Source organism: Homo sapiens, chromosome 14 (genome assembly GCF_000001405.40).
Source record: "Homo sapiens chromosome 14, GRCh38.p14 Primary Assembly".
Lineage (NCBI taxonomy): Eukaryota > Metazoa > Chordata > Mammalia > Primates > Hominidae > Homo > Homo sapiens.
In genome coordinates this window covers 93,611,490-93,635,104 of record NC_000014.9, presented here as the reverse complement: position 1 = coordinate 93,635,104, position 23,615 = coordinate 93,611,490, and the positions used below count along the sequence as shown (strand labels likewise).

At 40.1% G+C, this 23,615-nt stretch overlaps 1 protein-coding gene across 33 annotated transcripts in view; it reads right to left on the bottom strand.

Annotated features, from left to right (window-relative positions):
* The window catches only part of UNC79 (unc-79 subunit of NALCN channel complex), a 374,695-nt gene that overhangs the window by 72,772 nt on the left and 278,308 nt on the right, over window positions 1–23,615 (bottom strand). For 20 of the 33 annotated variants that reach the window (XM_011537027.3, XM_011537026.3, NM_001395159.1 and 17 more), the window contains 7 exons: window positions 22,022–22,308; window positions 17,801–17,983; window positions 16,751–16,913; window positions 14,064–14,213; window positions 12,264–13,484; window positions 4,197–4,304; window positions 468–584 (listed from right to left, as the gene is read on the bottom strand). In XM_011537027.3, coding sequence (XP_011535329.1) covers window positions 468–584; window positions 4,197–4,304; window positions 12,264–13,484; window positions 14,064–14,213; window positions 16,751–16,913; window positions 17,801–17,983; window positions 22,022–22,308 — 2,229 coding nt within the window. The remainder of the gene's footprint in view (window positions 1–467; window positions 585–4,196; window positions 4,305–12,263; window positions 13,485–14,063; window positions 14,214–16,750; window positions 16,914–17,800; window positions 17,984–22,021; window positions 22,309–23,615) is intronic. The other 13 variants (XM_047431624.1, XM_017021506.2, XM_024449667.2 and 10 more) reach the window with 5 other exon arrangements.

The following is a 23,615-nucleotide window of genomic DNA, read 5'->3' as shown; positions in this document are numbered from 1 at the left end:
GCTGGCTAAAACACAGAACTCATATTCCCAAACCTACTGGCAGATCATGATGTCACTAAGCTGACAATTTTTATCACTATTAGTATTACTATAAATATTCCCTCATTTGGGGCGTACTTTGTAGTTTATACAACAGAGAATACTGATAATCTGCTGTGTGTTTTCTTTTTTATTTGCATCATGAAACCATAGTTCCATTCCCTCCTCCCCAGATCAATAACCTAATATCTGGAATCTGGGTCTTAGAGAGAACAAGAGTTGGGCCAGCCTCAACGGAAGAGCGTGTCACTCTAGAACACTTGGGAAGTTTAAATAGACTTACTAATTACCTTAGGTGGTTTTGAAAAATTACCTGAACCAAAGAACATGAGAGAAAATCTATTCTTTAACAAGGGAGCAGAGTGGACACAGAGAAAGTAGCATTCACTAATCCGAGAGGTAGAATGAGAAGAAAAAGCTTGACCCACCAGTGTCCCAGTTGCTGATGTTATGGGGGGCGCTAGACTGATGCTCCAGCTGCCGCTTCATTAACTGGCTCATTGTCAGAACTCCCAGGGATCCCCTTTTCATCTGCCTATACTGAGCTAGATGGAGGAAATTAGGAGATGATTATAATAATAAATTTCCACAGCACACAAAGGCTCCACACATCCATATAGAATTTTAATTGACCCTTCATTTGCTATTCATAATTTTTGGTAAATTGTATGCTTCTGTTCAAATGAAAAATTAAGGTACTCTGCTGTTCCGGATGCCTTTCTTCACACAGTGAGGATGGTAACAGTGCCCATTAGCACTGATTTGTCGCCTGTAAATATTTATCCCAGTTATAACTGAATGAAATATGATTATCTTCATCTACTTTTAAAATTATATACTCTGCCATGTTTCAAAAATGATTTAAGACAAATAACAAATTTAAATGTATGGCTTAACTTTCTTTAACAGAGCTTGTGCATACATTATTTCCATCTTCCTCATAGCCCCATGAGGTCCTTGTGTATGTGTGCGTGTGTACATGATGTGTGTGTGTGCGTGTATATTTTAGGGTAGGATGACACATATCAACCCCAATTTTTAGAGAGAGAAATTGAAGCAAATGAAATTATATGACTTGGAACCAGTCAGCAACTGAGGTGGTCCTAAAACCAAAACATATCAACTCCAAAGTCAATGCTGTTTTCAATCTCTGTGCGAGCCTCTGCCTACTGTTTGAAAAATGTGAATCAAACAACATTCCACGAGTATATTCTAGTACACATCTTTGTTTTTAAAAAGTGGTAACATTTTTATCCTGTAAGTTAAGCATTGAAACATATCCCATCAGTGAAATGTCAAGTTATTAGCATTTCCAAACCAGAAAACAATGAAAAACACTTTTGCCAGTAGATTGCTGAGTTGGAAAGCAGTCTCCTCTGGTCCTATTCCCAGCAGTCCCACCAATCCCTACCAACCAGCCCAGTGAGAGAGGCAGAGCATCATGGATGCAACTTTTCTGCATGACCCCAAATACCTTGTATATTTGACAACTTGTGGTTATTCTCTGTGTTATAAGAAAAACTTCAGAAACTGAAGCTATCAACTACACGCCCTAGAAAGGGATGGTAGAGACCGGGATGACCGCATGGCCCCTGGAAACTCTTCAATGTTATACACACATTTCACAATCATGGCACCAAGGTGGCAACTTGGTGTGATGTGAAATCAATTATAACATTATTTTTAATGTAACTAGCATGCTGTTTGATTAATGGTGGTCACAACACGTTTAGCTACGAAATAACCAGCTGATAAACTGATCAAAAGGGAAGGATGTGATGGGAATTCTTGTGTCTTAAAGTCAATATTAACCTAACTCATGGAAATGACTACTCAACCTAATACTAAACATCTCTGGTTTTTGCCACTAATTGGTAAAACTTACAATGTTATGACTCACTTGAAAAGCACATCTTTAAGTAAAATTCAAAAGCAGAATTCTTTTTGAAGATGCAACAAATTTAAAACTTAGCAGCATCTAGAAGACTCAATCAAATGAAAATTTTAAACCTCTGATGATTGAATAATTTCTTCAATTCTCAGGTGTTTTCAAAGACAGCAGAATTCCCTGAGAATAAAACCCTTAATGTTTAGCTCAGTGTATAAGGTACCAGGCATGATACCTCCAAGAACACACCACCAAGAGCTATAGAATGCATGCTTTTAATGGCAAGGAGGAGAAAGGTGGAAATCTAATTAAGTGCTAAGCTAAATCCAAAGTCTAGATCAATCATGACTTTGGGATCATGAAACATTTGTAATTTGTAAATTCATTTTATGGTATATTTAACTATCATTTGAGTCCTACTGAGCTAATAATCCTATTTCAAATTATACTCTAATTCACTATCTTTTTATTTCTTCATTTTTTTTTTTTTGAGACAGGGTGCACAGGCTGGAGTGGAGTGGCACAATCACAGCTCACTGCAGCCGCCATCTCCCATGCTTGAGCGATCCTCCCACTTTGCCCTCCCCAGTAGCTGGGACTATGGTGCGCGCCACCACGCCTGGCTAATTTTTAATTTTTTTATAGAGACTGGGGCCTCACTATGTTACCCAGGCTGGTCTCGAATTCCTGGGCTCAAGTGATCCTCCTGCCTCAGCTTCCCAAGTGCTGGGATTACAGGCGTGAGCCACCACACCCAGCCCACTATCTTTTATTAAAGATAACTCGTACAAATTAGGAGAAGATACACTTTTATGATTTTAGTATGTGGTCATAAAATTGGCATTTTATCATGTGATCTAACAGATTTTTGTAATAAAAGAAGAATAATTAGATTCAGAACTAGCCATTCTTCTTTGCTACCAAAAGGGCAAATAACTGTCATTTGGAAACTATTTCTTAGAATTTCCATAATCCTTATTACAACTGAATTTGAATTATTTAAAGGAAGTGTGGTATACTAAAAATGAACATGGCTTTGTAAGTCTAAAGGGCCTAGCATCAATTCCTGAATCTATCACTTAGTAGATATTTGACTTTAGGCAAGTCATTTAGCTTCTCTGGATCTCAATTACCTAATCTATAATATGGGGCCAACAACATCTATCACGCATGTGTTGATGTAACAATTGGATCAGATAACAATGTGTGTGAGCCACTTGGCACAGTGCCTGGCACATGATAGATGTTAAATAGATAGTAGCTATAATTACTATTATGACTGCAAACTCCTGGAGAACAAGCGGTGTTTTATTTATTCACTTTTGACCTCCAGTGCCAAGCACAGTGTCTGGCATCCAGCAGACACTTAGTAAATAGTTGCTGAATGAATGAATGCATGAATGAATGAACAATGAAGATGATGATGTTCCAAACTACCAGTCCAGTATTTAAGATCTTTATCTGTTTTTTCAGGATCATCAAAAGATGGTCAAATGAAAATTATTAAATAGCTTTTCAGGCAATGTCCACATGGAACACAACATTTATCAGCACATATGACAAAGGTTTATAGAAATTGCATCTATGTTCATATCTCTGATTCTTGGTAAGACTGTCTCATGCTAAAGTCTCGTAATTAACCCCACTGAGACATGTGGACATGCTTATGGAACTTCAGTGGAACTCAAGCTCCCATGGACAAAATCTAGGACCCAGTAACAGAAGCCAGTTTCAAAATACTCGCCTCCTACAGGTCCTGTAAAATGTCGTGCCATTTCCACTCTCCAATCCAAAAGAGCTAAATTCAGTCATGACTTTGGGAATATGATATATCATACATTTATTTTACGATAACCTAGATCAAATTTTGTCAATGATGGAGGCGACTCAAATTAAATAAAAGTGTTCCATGTAAAATTCTGCCATAGACAATGCTTTTCATGTGCCCCAAAACCTGTTCCGTGTTTTATGTTCAGGTTATACAATTTTTATTTTATTGAATAATGGAATTCAGTGATCATTCCTTAACAAATTAGGATACTTGGCCAGTCAGTAACCATAGTGATTTATCAAACACTAGAGATACGGACGAAAGTGGGCCATCCTACTCCTCAGGGTCTCTGAGAATATACAACATACTATCACCAAGGAAGCTGATGCAACATTAAAATATATATACAATACCAAGATTGGGAAAATTGAAAACAAGGCAGCAGACAGTGTTCCAAAATAAATGCATAGATGAAATAATCAGCAGAGGAAATCTTACTTGATATTGAGGAATGGCTACTTGTTTCCGGCACACCTGCATCTAACGTAGGGGCAGATGAAGATTCTCGTGGCATTTCCAAAGTTGAAAGTCCTTTAGTAGAAGGATCTACAAACAGAAATATTATTTAAAACTCAGGACACTGATTAAAAGCAAGTTCAAGAACCTTTTCTATATCTTTTACCTCTTGTCTACTACAACCATTCAACTCTTTATACACTTTCCTGGCCTAATAATTACTTTCATGGAATTACATATACACTAGTTACAATGCTCCAGGGAGAGCTGACTCTATGTGACATTCTGCACCTATGGATCTGCCTTTTGGAGATTAATGATAGCAAAATTACAGAGCTAAAGCTCAGCTGTTCACAATGCATATCCCCAAACAAATTCCTTAACCTTTCTGTACTAAATTTCTTTTCATCTAAGACCTAAATATGCTTAATAGTTCATCCCTATCTCCTGTCTAGGTACTCCACCTTTGTCTGACAATTTCCTACTTATCATTTGCGTCTCAATTTATATAGAAAATTCCTCCTTTAGGGAGGCTTCTACAACCTCTCTCCACAAAAATATACAAACAAAAATGCTGGGTCAGGTGCCCTTTTGATGTAATTACAGAGCACCTTGTCTTTAACCTTCTCCAGACTTACCACACTATAATCTAATTGTCTGTTTCCTTGCCCATAGCCTTCGCTAACCCTTAAGTGATTTAGGAGCATGGACTGTACTCAACCCGAAATAAATATGCATGATTAATTCAGATTTTGTATTTTATTTGTTGAGCAAGAAACAGACTGCCATTGGCTCTCCTATTTGACAAATGTTGAATTTAAAGTGAAATATTTTCTGCATATAATATTGTCTTATTAACCTATCAGTAATGGGAAACACTCTGTCCCACATTATTCTAGGTAACTACAAATTATTTTTCAAAACCTGCTGAAAAGTTTACTGGCTTCTTTCCAAACCTTGTTGCCATCTTAGGCAGCACCATGCAGTGAATATACTGAGCATCTTGCTGGCTTGGAGTTACCACCATGGGCTCCCATGACTACACTGTACTGGAATTCAGGGATGTCAACCCTAAATGGCTTCAAGTTCTTAAGCTTAATAGTGTTTCTGTCTCATCCTTGTCATGGTGCAAATTGTTTTTTCTTGCCAGAGAGCAAACCTCATACATTCATACAAACATACACTTTAAGGAAACAAATGCCATTCTATTATTAGATGATCATTAAACTTGCTAAACTATAGAACAGATCCTAGGTGAGGGTCTAGGAGAAAGGTTCCTGAGCACTGATTTCGAAGCATCTATTTTTGATTCTCAGAGGCCTTTCAAGTAGGTATGGTTGCCAGATTAATAACCTCTTGATAACAAAAAAGCATAACTCTTGTAAAGTTTCCCAAACCCTCTTAATAAAGCATAATGACTAATGTTAAATTACTTTAGCCATTAAGATAGTAAAGGTCAGCTATGATTTTTCTCTTAGGTATCCTCCCCAAACTACTAATCAAAAACATGCATAATTATCTCTCTTACCCTTACTGGCCTGCACTCTATGCAGGCTACAACTAACGCCTAATAATCTCACCAATAATGTTAGTGAAAAAGCTTAAAGCTAATTTTCAAGGATTCTCTGAAAGATTATTAAGCCTTTTAGAGTTTGGGTATGCCTATTTGTGTGTGTGTATATGAGTGTGTGTGAGATGGAGTCTTGCTCTATTGCCCAGTCTGGAGTGCAGTGGCATGAACTCAGCTCAGTGCAACCTCTGCCTCCTAGGTTCAAGTGATTCTCCTGCCTCAGTCTTCTGAGTAGCTGGGATTACAGGCACACACCACCATGCCCAGCTAATTTTTGTATTTTTAGTAGAGATGGGGTTTCACCATGTTGGCCAGACTGGTCTCGAACTCCTGACCTCAGGTGATACACCCACCTTGGCCTCCCAAAGTGCTCGGATTACAGGCATAAGCCACCGTGCCTGGCCTTGGTATCCCCATTAAAATCCTTGCTGTATCTTTAATTTTAAAGAAACGTCTTGCTGTAAGAAGGTCGGTAATAAGCATTAGTGTACTAAGATTCTGTTAGCGAGGCAATCTTTCCTCAGCCCTCCATCATTTTATGAAAGATTTTACTTGCATAAATTTAAGATAAATATCTGAATAGAGCTATCCACTTGGCTTAAAATATTTGTATTCAATTTTTATAGTGATGGGAAGAAAATGTCAGGCTATCCTTTCATTCCTTCATCAGACATTTGCCAGCTCTCTATTGGTCACTTGTGATAGAGTCAGTGAACAAATCAGACAAAATCTTTGCCTTCAGGAGCTTTCATTTGGGAGGGGAGAGACAGACAATAATTCATACGCATAAAAGTGAATAAATTATTGTATGTTGGAAGATCAATTCTCTGTAGGAGAGAAACAGAGAAGAGAAAGACAGACATCAAGATACCAGGTAGGGGCTGGAGAGTAGGGCATCGCAGAGAACCTGGTGTTGGATCAAAGAATTAAAAGGGAGAGAATGAGCCAGACAGATATTTGGCAGTTCCAGGTTGAGGGAGCAATCAGTGGAAAGGCCCAAAGGTAAAGAATACAAAGGCGGGTGTTCAAGACCTGACAAGGGGTCACTGTGGCTAGGTAGCATTGTGGTGAGAATAGTGTGAATGCAGTTGAGAGCCAATGAGGACTAGGACCACATAGGGCTTTGCAGGAATTTAAAGAACTTGTGTTTTGCTATGAAAGAAATAGCGAGTCACTGGAAGTCTTTAAGCAGGGGAATGGTGTAATCTCCTATTTTAAAAGATCACTCCGGCTGTTGTGTTGAGAGGACATGAAGGTAATAGGAGTGTAAAATACTACTACTAAATAAAATACTACTAAAATAATCATCCCTAGCCAATTCCATTTTTTCTAAAGTCAGGAGGCTCTAGCAGTTCATCTAGGTCAGAGATGTCAGTGGCTCAGGCCAGAGTGGAAACAGTGGAGGTAAGAAGAAGGTGCCACATTCTGGATGTGTTTTGAAGGTAGATTAAGTTTGCCAGATTAAATAGAAGATGCTCAGTTAAATGTTAATTTCAGATAAACAACAGATAATATTTTCATATGAGTAAAAATAGTCCCATGCAATATTTGAGAGATGTGGCCCCAATTCTTCATATCTCCCTGAATCCATGCCTTTCACCATGTGACTTTAAAGTTCTACCACTAAAGAGGGAGAGTATATTTCCCCTCTTGACTTTGGTTCAGCCATGTGATTTGCTTTGGCTGACAGAATGTTTGCAAGAATAACATGGCCAGAGGCTTGGAAAGTGCCTGTGCAACACGGCTTGTTCTTTTGTGACTCTGCCATCACCATGGCAGAATATTTCCAGGCTTCAAGGTCCAGGTCGAGGTCAGCAGGCATGAGAAGCAGAGCCTAGCCACCCAGCCTTGGCCAATCCCCAGGTGAGTTGTAGACTCTCGAACTAAATAAATACTTGTTGTAAGCTGCTGAGGTGTTTGTTACACAGCATTATTTCCGCAATAGGTCACTGATGGTTGTCTTAGCATACAGACAATATCTAAAGGCTAAAACCAGATGAGACCATTGAGAGAGGGAGAGTTCATAGAGAAGAGACTAGGATCAAGGACAGAGACCACAAGTCACTCTGTCATTAAGGAAATAGAGAGGAACCAAAGAGAATGATGGGGTGACCAACAGTGTCAAAGACTGCAGATATGTCAGCATCAGACCTCATGACTGACTGCTGACAGATTTAGCAGTGAAGGACACTGGTGACCTTGACAACTGCTCTTTGGGTGAAATAGTAGGAATGAAAGCTTCATAGGAATGATTTTTTTAAGAGACAGGGTATCACCATGTTGTCCAGGCTGGAGTGCTGTGGCTATTCACAAGTGCAATCATAGCACACTACAGCCTCCAACTTCCAGTCTCAAGAGATCCTCCTGCTTCAGCACTCCAAGCAGCTGGGACTACAGGTGTGTGCCACCATGCCCAGCTTATGAACAGCTTTTAGAAATAACAGACTGGAAGAAAATTGGAGATAGTATAGAGTTGTCTCTTCCAAACTCTATACTAACGTTTGTCTCTTCCAAACTCTATACTAATGTTTGTCTCTTCCAAACTCTATACTAAAACATTAAAAATGATACCAAAAATTAAATGATACCAAAATTTAAAATGATACCAATCAACATTATGTGTTTTTGTTTTCTTTTAATTTTAATTCATTAGTATGTTTTAGTATAGAGTTTGGAAGAGACAACTTTAATAGAATTTGGGAGAGACAACTCTATTCTATCTCTTCCAAAATGTTTTGCTACAAGGAAAGGAGTAAAATGGGCTAATAGTTGGGAGAACATGGATCAAGTGCTTTTGTTTGTTTAAGAAAGAGAAATAAGATTATGTTTGCAGGCTCAAATCAAGGGTCCTTTAGGAAAAAAAAATACTAAGAGAGGATACAGAAGGGAGAATTTTAGGGGCCTATATTCTTGAGTAAGCGAGAGAGATAGAATCGTGTCCACATGTGGAAAGGCTGGGTGTAGACAGGACTACAGACAGTTAACCTACATACAGCCCCAGCCAGGAAGTCCAGGTGTGTAGGTGCAGAAGCTGGAAGGTGGGCAGATAAGGTGATAGGAGGCTGTGGAAAGTCCTTCTAATTATGTCAATTGCAAGACTTATTGAAAGTTTGGGGAGAAAAGTAGCTATGAAATAGTCATTTAGGAGACTGGAAATGTGAATGGACCAGGAAAATATGTTACGATTGTCAGGTTGAAGGACCCAGTTGAGGTTCATGGCCATTAATTTAAAATGATACCAGCCAACATTATGTGTTTTTGTTTTTCTTTTTTTAAATTTTATTTTGTGCATGTAGTTGCACTTCATACAATTTCATTTGCAAAATGAGGCAGTGGGACAGATTTGGCCCATGTGCTGTTGCTGACCAATCCTGGATCTATGTTTTCACTGGTCATGTTAAGGAATTCAAGCACATTTCTTAATTTTCTTTTAATTTCTTGAAAAATGCATTATGTGTTTTCACCCAGTCACATTCATCTGATAGGTGCAGGTACTGGTAGAGGGAAAGCTGGATTTAACACAGGTTGTGTTTAGCCAAGCAAATCTAAAAAGGGAAAGGCCCAAGAGGGTGCAGGCAGGGAGGGATTACATTGATAGCCTTGAGTTTAAGTTGAGTAAGGAGAAAAGACACGAAGTAGGGGAGGGACAGCAAAAAAATACTTGGATCAATACACAATTGTCCAGGGAGAGAAGAAATGGTAATCAGAGGATGAGAGATGAAACTGAGATCATGAAGAGGTTGCAGTTATTGGCAAATAATAAGGTCTGCAATGTGACCATGGGTGTGAGCAGCTGAGCTAAGGTGGAGGATAAAAAAACAATCGCTGGAGAAGATGCATTCAAGGAAACCAAGTGTCAGGAGTGTCATCTACACTAATATTAAAATCCACAGGAATTAAGACAGGAATAATTTAGGAAAGAATAAGAAGGGCCACGAATCAAATTTGTCAACAAGTGAGGAAGAGCCAGGGTTCGTGATGATGCAGCAATGCAAGTAGTGGGTGCCGTGATCTGAGGGTATGCAGCTCAGAGAGGGAGTTTCTAGAGACAAGAAGGGAAGGGTCTGAAAGGGGAAGTGTGGAGCAAGGAAGATGCTGCCCCTGGCCAAGTCCAGTGACATGGGCTGTAGGGAAAGCAATGTCCTCAGGGAGAGCTGGGCTTCCATTAGACTCAGAAGGCAAGGGAAATAGAGGAGAATGTGTGTGAGGGATTTTGCTCATGAAGGACCATGAATTTCCTAGGACACAGGGGAAGGGTTTCAGGAGTCAGGGTAACGAAGGAGAAAGCTTCAGAACAGAAGGTATGCAAGGCCTTGTGGAGCTCTGAGTGAGGGATACGGAGGACGACCCAGTACTCTAGGGACTGACGTAAACAGAGTGAAGTGCACAGTGAGGTTAGTCCTGGACTCCTGGCAGTTAGCAGGGGCAAGGCTGTGCGTCTGGGAGGGTTTGGAGGGGCAAGTGTATGGGCCTCCCTCACTCCTGATGATGGACACAGGAAAGTCTGGGGACGCCTGGGTCATGCTCTGAGCACACGGGACTCCTTCCCATGCCCAGCAAGGAGGGGCAGAAGAGATCAGATCAGAGTCAGTGGGAGGCAAAGCCTTATGGAGACATACAATTATGATGACAGTAAAATAATATTATGCCATTTTAAAGACATGTTATAACTATCATGTATTTTTCCCCTGTTCTGTTAACAAATAATTTCCTCCCTGGTAGTCTGGGGAACAATCAAACATAAGGGTGAATAAAGAAGCCAACACAGTTGCACACACAAACCTGCATGCTAGAACCTACATGCAACCTACACATCACAGAGACTCACCCTGTAGACCTCAGCTTCGTATGCACCAGCCCTATAGACCTCTATCATTTCTAGGTCAATGCCCTCCTCCTTCCATATGCAACCATGTTCCTGGCCCCAAACAATAAAAAGGTGTCCCAGTTTCCCTGAAAGCCTTCTTAACTTCTTAAACTTTCTTGTTATGAACAAGGACCGTTTTTTCCCTGCCTGGCTGGAGCATGACCCTTTCCAAACACGCCAATGTTCATTCAACAGATTTTTACAGCGCGTTTTTGAGGTAGACAGCTCTGTCCTAGGAGCTAAAGGGCAGCTAGAAACCTCTGGAAATGCCTGGGGCAAATAAAAAAGCCGAGTGCATTCCCTTAGAAGTGGCTTTTGTGTGGAACAGCGGGAAAACGTGACTGGAATCAGGCACTGCTTCTGTCTGGCCATGTGACCTGGTGCATCCCCTCCTCTAAGCCTCGGTATCTTCCTGTATAATATGAGGGGCTAGGCTAGAGGTCTTTAAGACCTTCACCAGTTTTTAACATTCCACAGTCTATATATCTACTAAAATAATCATCCCTAGCCAATTCCATTTCTTCTAAAGTCCCATTAACTTTTTTATTTTATTTTATTTTTTTAGACGGAGTCTCACTCTGTCACCAGGCTGGAGTGCAGTGGCACCATCTCACCTCACTGTAACCTCCGCCTCCCAGGTTCAAGCAATTCTCCTGCCTCAGCCTCCTGAGTAGCTGGGATGATAGGCGTGCGCCACCACGCCCAACTAATTTTTGTATTCTTAGTAGAGACGGGGTTTCACTATGTTGGCCAGGATGGTCTTGATCTCTTGATCTCATGATCTGCCCGCCTCAGCCTCCCAAAATGCTGGGATTACAGGCATGAACCACTACGCCCAGCCCCATTAACTTTTTTTAAAAGATCTGAACTAAGAAATGAAGATGGGTTTTGATCAGTGTTGCGGTAACATTACAGAAGACTGTTATAGGATGAGGTGGATCATGGGCTTGCCATTTCTTTCAAGTTATCTTTCTTAGAAACAATGCCTCCAAGCAAACACAAGAAATGGCCCTGAGGCAGGAAACCCATGGGCTGTGATAACTTCATCACCAAGTGATGACCGTGGGTTAGGGTCTAGGCTGTAACTGGTATTTTTTGGTTTCTGATATTTGGTTAGTATCTACAATCAGCTGTATGCCCTGTAAGTGATTATACAGTCAATTCTTAATCATTCTAGGGCACTCTGCTTTATTTTAGCCTCCACATTGGTTCCTTCTTTGGACTATATCATAGCTCACTAGTACAGGGCAGAGAAAAAAAGAAAGCAAAGAGTTCAAGTTAATGACTTTTGCTGTTTGAGGAAGGCTGAGATGATACCTGGATTATCCTGATACGAATTAACCAATGCATCTCATTGCCAAGGGTGGTCAAGAATTGACTGCAGAGTTTAAAACAACAAAAACAGAAACATTTGTGGAGCCAGTAGAACCACATCTGCATCCAACATTGTCCATTAAACAGGAAGGATTCAGAGTGATTGAGAAGCCATTATAATGTCACACCCTGACATTATAAGAGTTTGAGTCTGATGCATATTCAGTGCCGGTACCCTATCAAACAAGATGCACAAACTTAAAGTTAAGGCTGAGAGAAAGAAGAGAGGCGAGCTTACCTGGATCTTTCTGTTCTCCCAGTTTGTCCAGAATGTTGAAGGAGATGTCGAGGTACTCTCTCTGGATAGCACTGACAGCAATCTTCCTCTGCTTCCTCTGCCTGGGAACAATCTGAATCTTAAATTCGGATTCCTCAGCTCCATCCTCTTCCACCTTCCTTTCAGGATTCTGTTCTGTATCAGATTCTGCACTGGTATCAGGCTTCTCACTTTCTGTGGGGTTCTCTGCATCTTCGGGAACTTTGAGGAGGACGGTTTTTGCCCCTGAACTTGGCATCAGCTCCCCAGGCTTCTCCCCCTCAGTGCCCGGGTCAGGGTGATCATCCAGCGACATCTCGGGGAGAGCAAACGACTTCTGAAGGAGGTCTCGTTTTTGCTTCAGCGTCAGTGGGCTACCGCAGGAGAACTCTGGCAGCTCCTCTGGCTTTGAGGATCCTTCGGCGTCCATAGGGTCTTCCAGAGTGATGAGGGCAGAGTCAGTGTTCCCTGCTGACTGATTATTTCCTGAGTCCTTAGAAGAAAAGTCTTTGGAACAATCCTCCACACTTACTTGTACAAGCGGAGCTGTGCTCAGGCTGAGGACGGAGGGATGGCTGGGGACGGAGGGAGAAGAGGCAGCATTTTTACCGGAGGGGCCGTCATCGCCTTGGTTCATCGTCTCCTCTTCTTCGTCACTCTCGACTATTCTGAGAGGGGGAAGAGGCTCAAATACAAGAGAGTCGCTGTCGGAGGTTGAGAGTATAGAGTGTTTTTCAGGCCCCGAGGTTGAATCTGAGGATAGATCTATCAGATCTAAATCCTCTTTAGGAGCAGGCTTTACCGGCGAGTCAACTTTCACCTCGAAAGTCTCCATACAGTTTAACCTAACCTCTGGTATGACAGGCCTTCGAGCATCTGGAAACCCTTCCATAGCTGGGTTCTCGGGGATTTCACTATTGTCAGGCCTCGTAGCAGAGTTCTGTCTAGAACGTCCAGGGTCGTTTGGTCTTTGTGCGATATACGCAGCTTGGGTCGGAGGCTTCTCTATGTCACACCGATCTATGCACGACTTCCTACGATGTTCGTCTAATGTAAACAAAAGCGAGTCTGCATTCCCTATATCAAGAGATTTTTGTTTGAAAGAGCGTAGCTTTTTTTTCGGAATGCTTTCTTCTCTCACACAGTGGAGAAGGCTGTCTTGTAATGCACCCGTCTCTCTATATTCAGCCAGTTCTATTTCACCTGATCAAAACAGAAAAAGCTAGTACTATTTTACTTGGAGATTTCACCATTTTTTCCCCTCATCCTTGGGCATACAATTGGCATAAATCATCATCACAATCCCAGCTCCACCAGGAGGGAAAACGAACTTTCTGGCCAAGTTTTTGTAAGGTTCGTTCTAATTTCAAAAACTGGAAAATTTACGAATGAAAGAAACCAAAATGGCAGTTTAAGATCTGATTTCCAAAATCGGGCTTCGGGATAATTCCTCAGCTCTGTTCATTTGTGCATAGGAGAGGGGATCATTTTTTGGCTGAGGCAGATCTAGGAAACTGTATTCAAATCGTGTGGAAGAGAAGCAAACATTTTGCAACAAATCAAATCAAGCAATGGCTCTCAAAGACGATCATGACATTAATGATGTATCTGTCGATTCACGTATATATATAAATGTGTATATATATATACTGTTTGTGCATACATATATATAAATCAACGGTATTAAAATGTGTAGTAACATAATAAAATTAAGATTTCACCCCAAACAAACGGTAGAGTACAACATTTCTGCATAAAATTACTAAGAGAAAAAATTCATACTTCTCTGAACATTCATCTCAACCGGCTGATATTTCACCATTTTGCTGCCGCCTATTCTTTTCAATCTTGCAAAAAAAGTTTGAGACTCTTTATTGCAGGGTCCAGTAGGTGTATCATGAATATCAGATTCATCAAAAACACTATCTTCTTCTAATTGGGGAGAGAAAGTCAAAATTACACTTAAGAGGTTATTCTCTCTTAGGCTGTGTCTACACAAGCATTTCAATGAAAGCATTATGGAACAAGGTCTGGGTTAGTTTCTGCACCAGCCCAAGTCTAGCCATGGGTTGGTATTTCATCCAGGCATCAAATTCTCCATCTATTGGACAGAGCAAGCTGTTACAAGATTGCCCATCACTTTTCACATGACAATTGGCAGCATTTTTAAGGAGAGGCTTCTTGAGAGTCCAATAGCGCCTTTTTGGGAAACTTTTCCAGTGTGCTTAACACCAGATGACACATAGATGTCAGCTACTTTTTCCAGGAGCCTGTGACACTGCTTGGACTTGTCTGCTTTGCGTGGATTTTCAGGCTGATTTGGCGAAAGGAAATTAAACAAAATGAGTGGATCTTGGGCTTTCCAAAAAAGAAAAAAAAATCTGCCTTTATGGGATTTGGTAACTGGCATAGACACAGCCTAACAGTACATGCACCTTATACGGTGTGAATGCAAAATACTGTACTCTACATTTGATAATGAGACACGCAACACACAGAAAAAGCTTAGAAAAGCCACTTGTCATCTCAAAAGCTCCACGAATGATTATGGACTGAAAGAGTAAACAAAGGAAAAAGAAAACAGAAAATAACATTTCCTCCTATTAAAGTAAGACTCTTCTCTGAGGCGCTTACCACGTGTAACTATTACGGATCTCATGAATCCCAGAAAGAATCTTTGACACTTATGATCCCTAATCCTACATAAACAAACCGGTCACTTTGAGTGCCTGTTGAACTTGTTTCTACGTCCTCCCTTCTACACCCATGTGGCCATTTTTAAATCCAAGATAAACCCCAAAATATGTTAATGAGGAAAGAGTTCATATGTTGCAACCCATAAAGTTTACTTAACCAATTTTCTTCTTTCGTCCTTTTGAAAGGCCAAAGCCACGTACAAAGTGGCAACAGAAAAGGCTACTAAAATGCATTTAATAGCATCATAATGAGTTTACCTACTATTCAAGTTGAATATCACTGAACTCATAATGTTTGGCCTGTATTTACATCTACCTATATGACAAATGAGGCTCAGGTGCGATTATGATTATTCAAGGTTTTTTTTAGCATAAGGGCAGTATATACATCAAGTTTTAAGGACTGACCCTGTTCTAATGCACAAAATTCTACAAGTAAATGAAACTTGAAGTAGTAAATTTTAGATGAAATAACCATACTAAACTTTTTAATTAAATAAAAATAAATGTTAATCAAAATGAATTTGTTTTTAAACCCAGTGAACTTCCACAAAGATGGGAATGCCTATCAAATTCCCATGTTTCTGGGGAAACGCAACACAATAATCTGTTTTACTTCTCTATTTCCTTTTTGGAAAAATATCCTTTGAAAAATGCAGTTTTTCCAACCAATAGTTACGTGACTTGCATTACATAACTTTGAAACAATTTTCAAAATGCATTGAACACTCAAGACTGAAAGACCACAAGATGGCGCCTCCCATCCAGAAAGGTTCATCAGGGTTTGGCCCAAACACTAAGCCCACGCTGAAAACATCCATAGCTTAACAGATCTCCCCAATTTGCCAGAGACTAAACCCTAAACTGGTAGACAAGATATTCTTTAGGAGGGATCTGAATGGTACCAGAACTTAAAGAACCTAGTTCTCGAGTTCCGTCTGTAGCCAAACTAGATTTTTGGAACTTTCAGCAATAACAAACAGGAACACTGGTACAATTTATACTTTTGAGGTATCTCCAGAGCAGTCCTACTAAAACAGACTCTACTAACCTCATAAAGGGTCAGTGGACACTTGGTTTTTTCCAAAGACTAGATTAAATGATGTCAATTTAAAATCTAGTCAGCCGTGACTTACACTAAAAACTAAAAATATACACCCTGGTTCTTCGTGTCTCACCTGAAAACAGGCTGCAATTTTACCCTAGCTAAAGTTGCATTCTACTGCCCCTTTTAGAAAAAGGTAGCAATAGAAAAAGTGTTGATAATGGAGATAGCTTACACCTATGCAGCAAAAATGTTTCATTTCCCTTGCCTTGAATCACTTTGTATTAAATTAAAAGTCTAGGAAAAAGCACTTCAGCAAACTTAGACTCCATTGAAACTCTATGAGCGCAAAGACCAGGGCAAACTAGAGACCTACAAAGAATGGCTCCACTGTGTGCCAACCAAGACTTATTTTATAGCCCAAAAACGAGATGCTTCTAACACGTAAGAAAAGGCTTACAAAGGCTCCTGATTCAAACAGCAGAAAATATCTTACAAAATATTATTTCTTATGATACAGGCTTTGGAAGCACATCATTTATTCCTCTTGAATGCTCAATTTCAAAGTTAAAGCAGCAACATTCATGGAAAGTTGGAAAATTAAGAAAGTGATTTTTTTTTTTACTCCAGAATGATATCTGGGAACACTCTTCTATCTCCTAAGAAAACATTGTCCAGAAATCTATTATGTATTGAAGCTAGGTTTGGGATAGAATTTAGATATGTACCTTTTTCTTTTTCGCTGTATCTGCTTATGTTACTGTTGTCACTGTACAAAGGTCCTGCCGTGGCATGGGGCTTGCAGCTATGATACTGCGCATTGAGTGTATTGACTGTTATGTGAATCAGATGCAGCAGGATCTTGCTGATATCACAGTCTCGGTATGGATACTGCCCAATGAAACGAGAGAGAAAAAGATAAATGGTTATTTTAGAGGGTAAGCTTTTCCACCTGATCTTGCTGGATACTTTTTGCAGTATCTCTTGGGGATAAATATATATATGAGAGAGAGAGAGAAGTAGAAACAAATTCTGCTCATGGCCTTATTTATTTGTTTAGTTAGAGACAGGGTCTCACTCTGTCACCCAGGTTGGAGTGCTGTGGCGTGATCATAGCAGCCTACCGGGCTCAGGTGATCCTCCCACCTCAGCCTCCCAAGTAGGTGGGACCAGGCACGTGCAACCATGCTTGGCTAATTTTTTGTAGAGATGGGATTTCACCATGTTGCTCAGGCTGGGCTCGAACTCCCGGAGTCAGGCAACCTACCCACCTCGGCCTCCCATAAGTGCTGGGATTACAGCAGTGAGCCACCACGCCCTCCCCCATGGCCTTATTTTTACAAGGGACCATATTCATTTCCTCCTTCACCAAACCACTGACAGCAATGCATGCCAGTTCATAGTTACATTTCTTTTCAAGAAAATTATCTGGCATAAACCTTTAGTGGATGAATACAATTTCAGATATCTTTTGTTTTCTGAAATAATAATACTTAGACAAAATACAAGACTGAGTATAAACAGAGGTTCTTGATCAGTAGCCTACCATTTATCATTCTTTGTTTTAAACATTTTTAGAGCATATATTAACAGGGCCTCCCATTTCTATTTTCATTTCAATAGCTCTTTGGTTCTTAACAGTAATTGCATATCCTGATCTTCCTTCTGAAGGTCAAACTTCTACAAAATTTTCAACTAAAGACTCAGGTGTTCTCCTAATGCTATATGCTCTCTAAGAGAACCATTGCATCCAAAACAGCAGTGACCACCCAGCTCACCTTGTAAAGGATGACAAGCAAGGCCTTCAACCACATCTGCCGGATGTGAGGCTTTAGGGACCAGAGGGAGCAACGAGGCGGCTGTTGGAAATAATGCCGGAGTTGAGGACAAGAGCAGTATTTGAGCACCTGAACCACTAAGGGGAGAAGGTGTTTTCCCAAGTTAATGTTATAGTCCATAACCTGAAATAGAAAAAATATTAATAACTGATGGAAAACTACAAAGAACACTCAGAGGTCAAAAGGAAAAATTTGAGCCATCCCAGTGGTTAAAATTTTTAACAGGCAAAATATTTAACAGGCATCCCACAGAATATTAAAAGTAATGGCTAGTACGCAAGAAGGAGGAAAAGTCCAACCTCACAAAAAATTTTTGAAACTTGTAAATGAAAATAGTTTTAATCTAATTAATTATTTGTTTCAGTACCTATTGAAAATAAAATTTTGTCCATTCAACTATTAACCAGAGTTAAACTAGACAATGAAGAAACCTAGTATTGGTAACCACCTGCAGAAATGGGAATTCCTAGACGACCGGCAATACTTGGTTCAATCTGAACCAAGTATTATACCAACCAAACTTGATACAATCTTTCAGGAGAACAATTTAGTAATATATATTCAGGAATAAGAAAAAGCACATGCCAGGTGCAGTGGCTCATGCCTGCAATCCCAGCACTTTAGGAGGCTGAGGCAGATAGATTGCTTGAGCCCAAGAGTATGCTCAGGCAACACGGCGAAACCCTGTCTCTACCAAAAATACAATAAGTTAATTCGGTGTGGTGGCACACACCTATAGTCCTAGCTACTCGGGAGGCTGAGCTGGGAGGATCCTCTGAGCCTGGGAGGTCGAGGCTGCAGTGAGCCATGATCACACCACTGCACTCCAGCCTGGGCTACCAGAGTGAGACCCTGTCTCAAAAAAAAAAAAAAAAAAAGGAAAAAAGAAAGAAAGAAAAAGCATATACCGTCTAATACAGCCATTAAATATATCCCAAAGACATAATCAGACAAGTGTTCCAAAATGTATGTATAAAGAAATTCAGCATGGCTTTGTTTATAGTCACCCCAAACTGAAAACAACCTCCATATTCAATAATATGGGATTAGATAAACAAAATACTGTTTGTATAACTACAGAAAACTATGTAGCCACTATACAGAATATGATACAAATTTATTTACATGATATAAACTTCATAATAAATTTTAGGTTTAAAAAGGTTGCACCAAAATCTCAGAAATCACCACTAAAGAACTTAACCATGTAAGCAAACACCACCTGTTCGCCAAAAACCCATTGAAATAAAAAAATTTTAAAAAGGTGGCATATATATCAGTATGTATAATATGAACCTATTATTGTAAAAATGCACAGACATACATATGTGAGTATGAAATTATGTATGTGTATAAATTTGGAGGGAGCAATATATGCCAAAATGTTAGGGAGTTATTTTTGACACGGGTTTTCTGGAGTTATACAAACCCCATATAAAAATTTAATTTTTAATTTTTAGCTTATATTTCTTTTTTTCTTTTCTTCTTTTCTTCTTTTCTTTTTTTTTTTTTTTTTTTTTTTTTGAGATGGAGTCTCACTCTGTCACCCAGGCTGGAGTTTAGTGGTGCAATCTTGGCTCACTGCAACTCTACCTCCCAGGTTCCAGCGATTCACCTGCCTCAGTCTCCCATGTAGCTGGGACTACAGGCACATGGCACCACACCCAGCTAATTTTTGTATTTTTAGTAGAGACAGGGTTTCACCATATTGGCCAGGCAGGTTTCGAACTCCTGACCTCGTGATCCTCCCACCTCGGCCTACCAAAGTGCTGGGATTACAAGCATGAGCCACCATGCCCAGCCTTGATTTTAGCTTATATTTCTAAAGTAGACATGCATAATGTGGACTTAGAGGGTGGGGAGAAGAGGGAGGGAGGCTTTGGTATCTGAAACAGTGACAGCTGAGAAAAAGCGGTGATCCATCCAGTTATCAGCATCAGCACAGGACGACTACACGCACATTGCTCTCACGTTGCTCATCTTTGTTCATTATGTTACAATCTATTTGAGCTAATTGACAATAACAGCAATCATCTATTGAGTTCCTACCATGAGACAGGCATTGATCAAGGTGCTTTGCAATATGTTTTCTCTAATCTATCAAAAAAGGAAATCTGTGTACCAATAAGCAAGCAAGCAGAGAGTGCCTAAGCCCTAGCAACTAATAACAGAGGTGGAGCTGAAATTCATATCCACATCTCTGTAGCCCCAAGTCCTCTATCTTTGCAGATTGGTGCAGCTGTTCTGGAGAGTGAGATTTGTAGCACTGACCAAATTAGGCATACATTTACCCTACCACCCAGCAGTTCTTCTGGATCCATCTCCCTAAGGAATTCTCACATTGGCTGATACGGTGTGTATACAAAGATGCTTATTACTGAACTGTTTGGGGTAGTGAGGCATTGGGAGCAATATGAGTCCATAACTAGGGGAATGGATGAGTAAAGTATGGTGTCTGTCCACCATGGCATGCAATACAGCAGTTAGAAGTAGCAGATGCACATGGAAAAGCCAGTGATGATGGTGTGGCATAAAGTTAAGTTGTATGATTAATTCAACTCTCTCCACCTGAAGCCAAAAAAGGAAGAGGATTTTTTTTTTTTTTTTTTAAACACACACAAACAGTGGCCGGGCGCCGTGGCTCATGCCTGTAATTCTAGCACTTTGGGAGGCCAAGGTGGGTGGATCACTTGAGGCCAGGAGCTCAAGACCAGCCTGACCAACATGGTGAAACCTCGTCTCTACTAAAAATACAAAAAAATTAGCTAAGCGTGGTGGCGGGTGCCTGTGATCCCAGCTATTCTGGAGGCTGAAGCAGGAGAATGGCCTGAACCCAGGAGGCGGAGCTTGCAGTGAGCCGAGACTGCGCCACTGCACTCCAGCCTGGCCACACAGCGAGACTCCGTCTCTAAATAAATAAATAAATAAATAAATAAATAAATAAAAATAAAACCACACAAACAAAAAAGCCTATACTCTTTTATTGTTTAATGGGTACAGAGTTTCAGTTTAGGATGATAAAAAAGTTCTGAGGATGGATGCTTGTGATGGTTACACAATAACATAAAATTACTCAATGCCACTGAACTGTACACTTACAACTGTTAAAATGGCAAATTGTATGTATATTTTACAAAAGGAAAAAAATCTCCCATGCTCCCTTGATGATACCAGGCTACCAATTCTTTTTTTTTTTTTTTTACTGTGCATGAAAATGTTTGATAAAATGGCAATTTTAATAGATAAATGTAAATTTGAGTGTGTAATACCAAATGGAAAGTAGCTGAAACACACAGAGAAAACAAGGCTTTACGTAGCTCCAAATTTAGCTGTTTTACACCAAACAAAGTATTGGAACATGTGAATATTAGAACCTCCTTCTAACTGGAAAGATTTCTTCATTAAGATACAATTGAAATTAATATAAACTAAAATTATAATTTCTAACATAGAATTAACAAACCAAATTTAAGTATTTTTGGTTAGTAATTGAAAAAAAATAGGCACAGTGATCTAGAAACCAAATATACTGGCCGGGCGCAGTGGCTCACGCCTGTAATCCCAGCACTTTGGGAGGCCAAGATGGGCGGATCACGAGGTCAGGAGATCAAGACCATCCTGGCTAACACGATGAAACCCCATCTCTACTAAAAATATAAAAAATTAGCTGGGCATGGTGGCGGGCGCCTGTAGTCCCAGCTACTTGGGAGGCTGAGGCAGGAGAATGGCGTGAACCCGGGAAGCGGACTTGCAGCGAGCTGAGATCACGCCACTGCACTCCAGCCTGGGCAACAGAGCGAGACTCCATCTCAAAAAAAAAAAAAGAAACCAAATATAGTAAAATGATTATGTAACTATCATATCAAGGTACAGACACTCTTCATATGCTACAAGGTTAGCATCTTTCTCTCTCTCTCTCTCACACACACACACACACACACACGCATGCAGTCTCTCTCTCTGTCATTTTCTGTCTCACTATTCCTCAGCCAGGCTCCCAATTCTTACTAATGTTCACATTCCCCTCCACATACTCCTGCATAATACCAAGCAATTTGTACAAACCTTTATGCTGAACCAACGTTGGCTACATGGTATGTAATGCCTTGCTTCTACTAAAAGTATAAAGGTGTGACTTCTGAAAGCTGTTATTACACTTACTTGGGCAATTCCTGCAATGAATGCATTAAAGCAAGTTGACAGGCGCATTTTTTGAGGTGCAATCATGAAGCAACCTTCCTGCTGGTCATAGCCGAGTAAGACGTACAGGTGTCGCTTGACCGTGTTGAAGGCCTTTGCACTGCTGATGTCTGACTCAGCGCTGCTTTCATCCTTGGCCATGAACTTCATGAGCACTGTAATCAGCTGGTGAACTGTCTGGTGGTCGATCCCAGCGTCTTCTGGGAGCAGGTCCTTGATGGTGTTGTCATTCTCAGGAGATTGTTGTCCTGTCAGTAGAAGAAAGGCTGTCAGTGGGTGGCTCACTCACAAGTGAAGTGACACTAAAATCTCTCTTAGATATTGATAAGGCACCCTTGTTTCTGCGTCTACAAAATTTTCTGCTCCAGACAGACTTTAAGAAACTTAAAGGCACAATATGGCCTAGTAGGCAGAGCCCTAGTCCAGGGGTGAAAGTTATTGTATTCATCAACAACCAAGTAATCTGGGAGAATTAGGGAATGGGAATAAAAATAGGGTGCTATGAAGCAATATTATCCTGAAACAGCAAGACAAATGCCTACATAAATTTTGCATTTAGCAAATTTTTTAATATGTTGGCAAAGTTTTATCCTCAGTGATAAAGGAAGTTTCCCTTCCAGCTTTGTAAAATAAGCATGTAAGAATAACTACAAAACGTTATAGTCTAAAATCCACTGAGGGCAAAACCACTGGGTTATTTTGTTTAAATTATTATCTCAATTTAGTTATGTTCATTAATCAGCTAGTGCAAAAAACAAATCTTTTCCAAACCCTGAGATATTAGCAATAGGCACTCTTTAAATGAAATAGCCAAAATTATAAATAGCAAATTATAAGCCCTGCTGTATGTCATGAGAAACATACAAGGAAGGGAGAGGACACAAACAGAAAGAGAGCGAAGCATGAACTTTTAAAAACAGAAAAACACCACATGAAGGTGAGCGGAAAGTTCACATGGAAAGAAAAAATACCTTCGCCCTTGGCCTCCTCTTAACCTAGTAAATAACAGCATCTGAGCAGCTCCCTGACATTGACTTTCTCTGTTATTTTTCAAAGTCAGAAGTTACCTTGTCTCTCTTTGTTCTTCTGCCCCTTCTTATCAGGTTTGGTTCAGGACTTTGGGAGAAGGAAGACTGATATTTGCTCTTCTATATTTATGGTTTGGGGATTATTCAAAATACTCTTGTCCTTTTTTTTTTTAATAAGAAACATTAGAATTTCTAAATTGAAAACAAATGTTTTGTCTGGTGGGTTAGATCAGCACACTGGCATTCTCATCTCTCATTCTGCAAGGAAACATTCTACTAAATGATGACAAGCTTTGGTTACAAACCATTATAAACCAAGCCTTGGTTACACCCATTATTATTACGGTATAAAGGATGCAACAAAGAGTTCGGCAGTCATTTATACCTATTAACTCCTCAGTTAATTTGGCAAAATCTCAGCCTTCCAGGACACAGCCAAGAGACGCGAGGCATAAGAAATGTTTCTGGGAATTGCAAAAATTTGCTATCTCAAGCCCACATACTTTTTCTCTGGGATAGGAGCATGA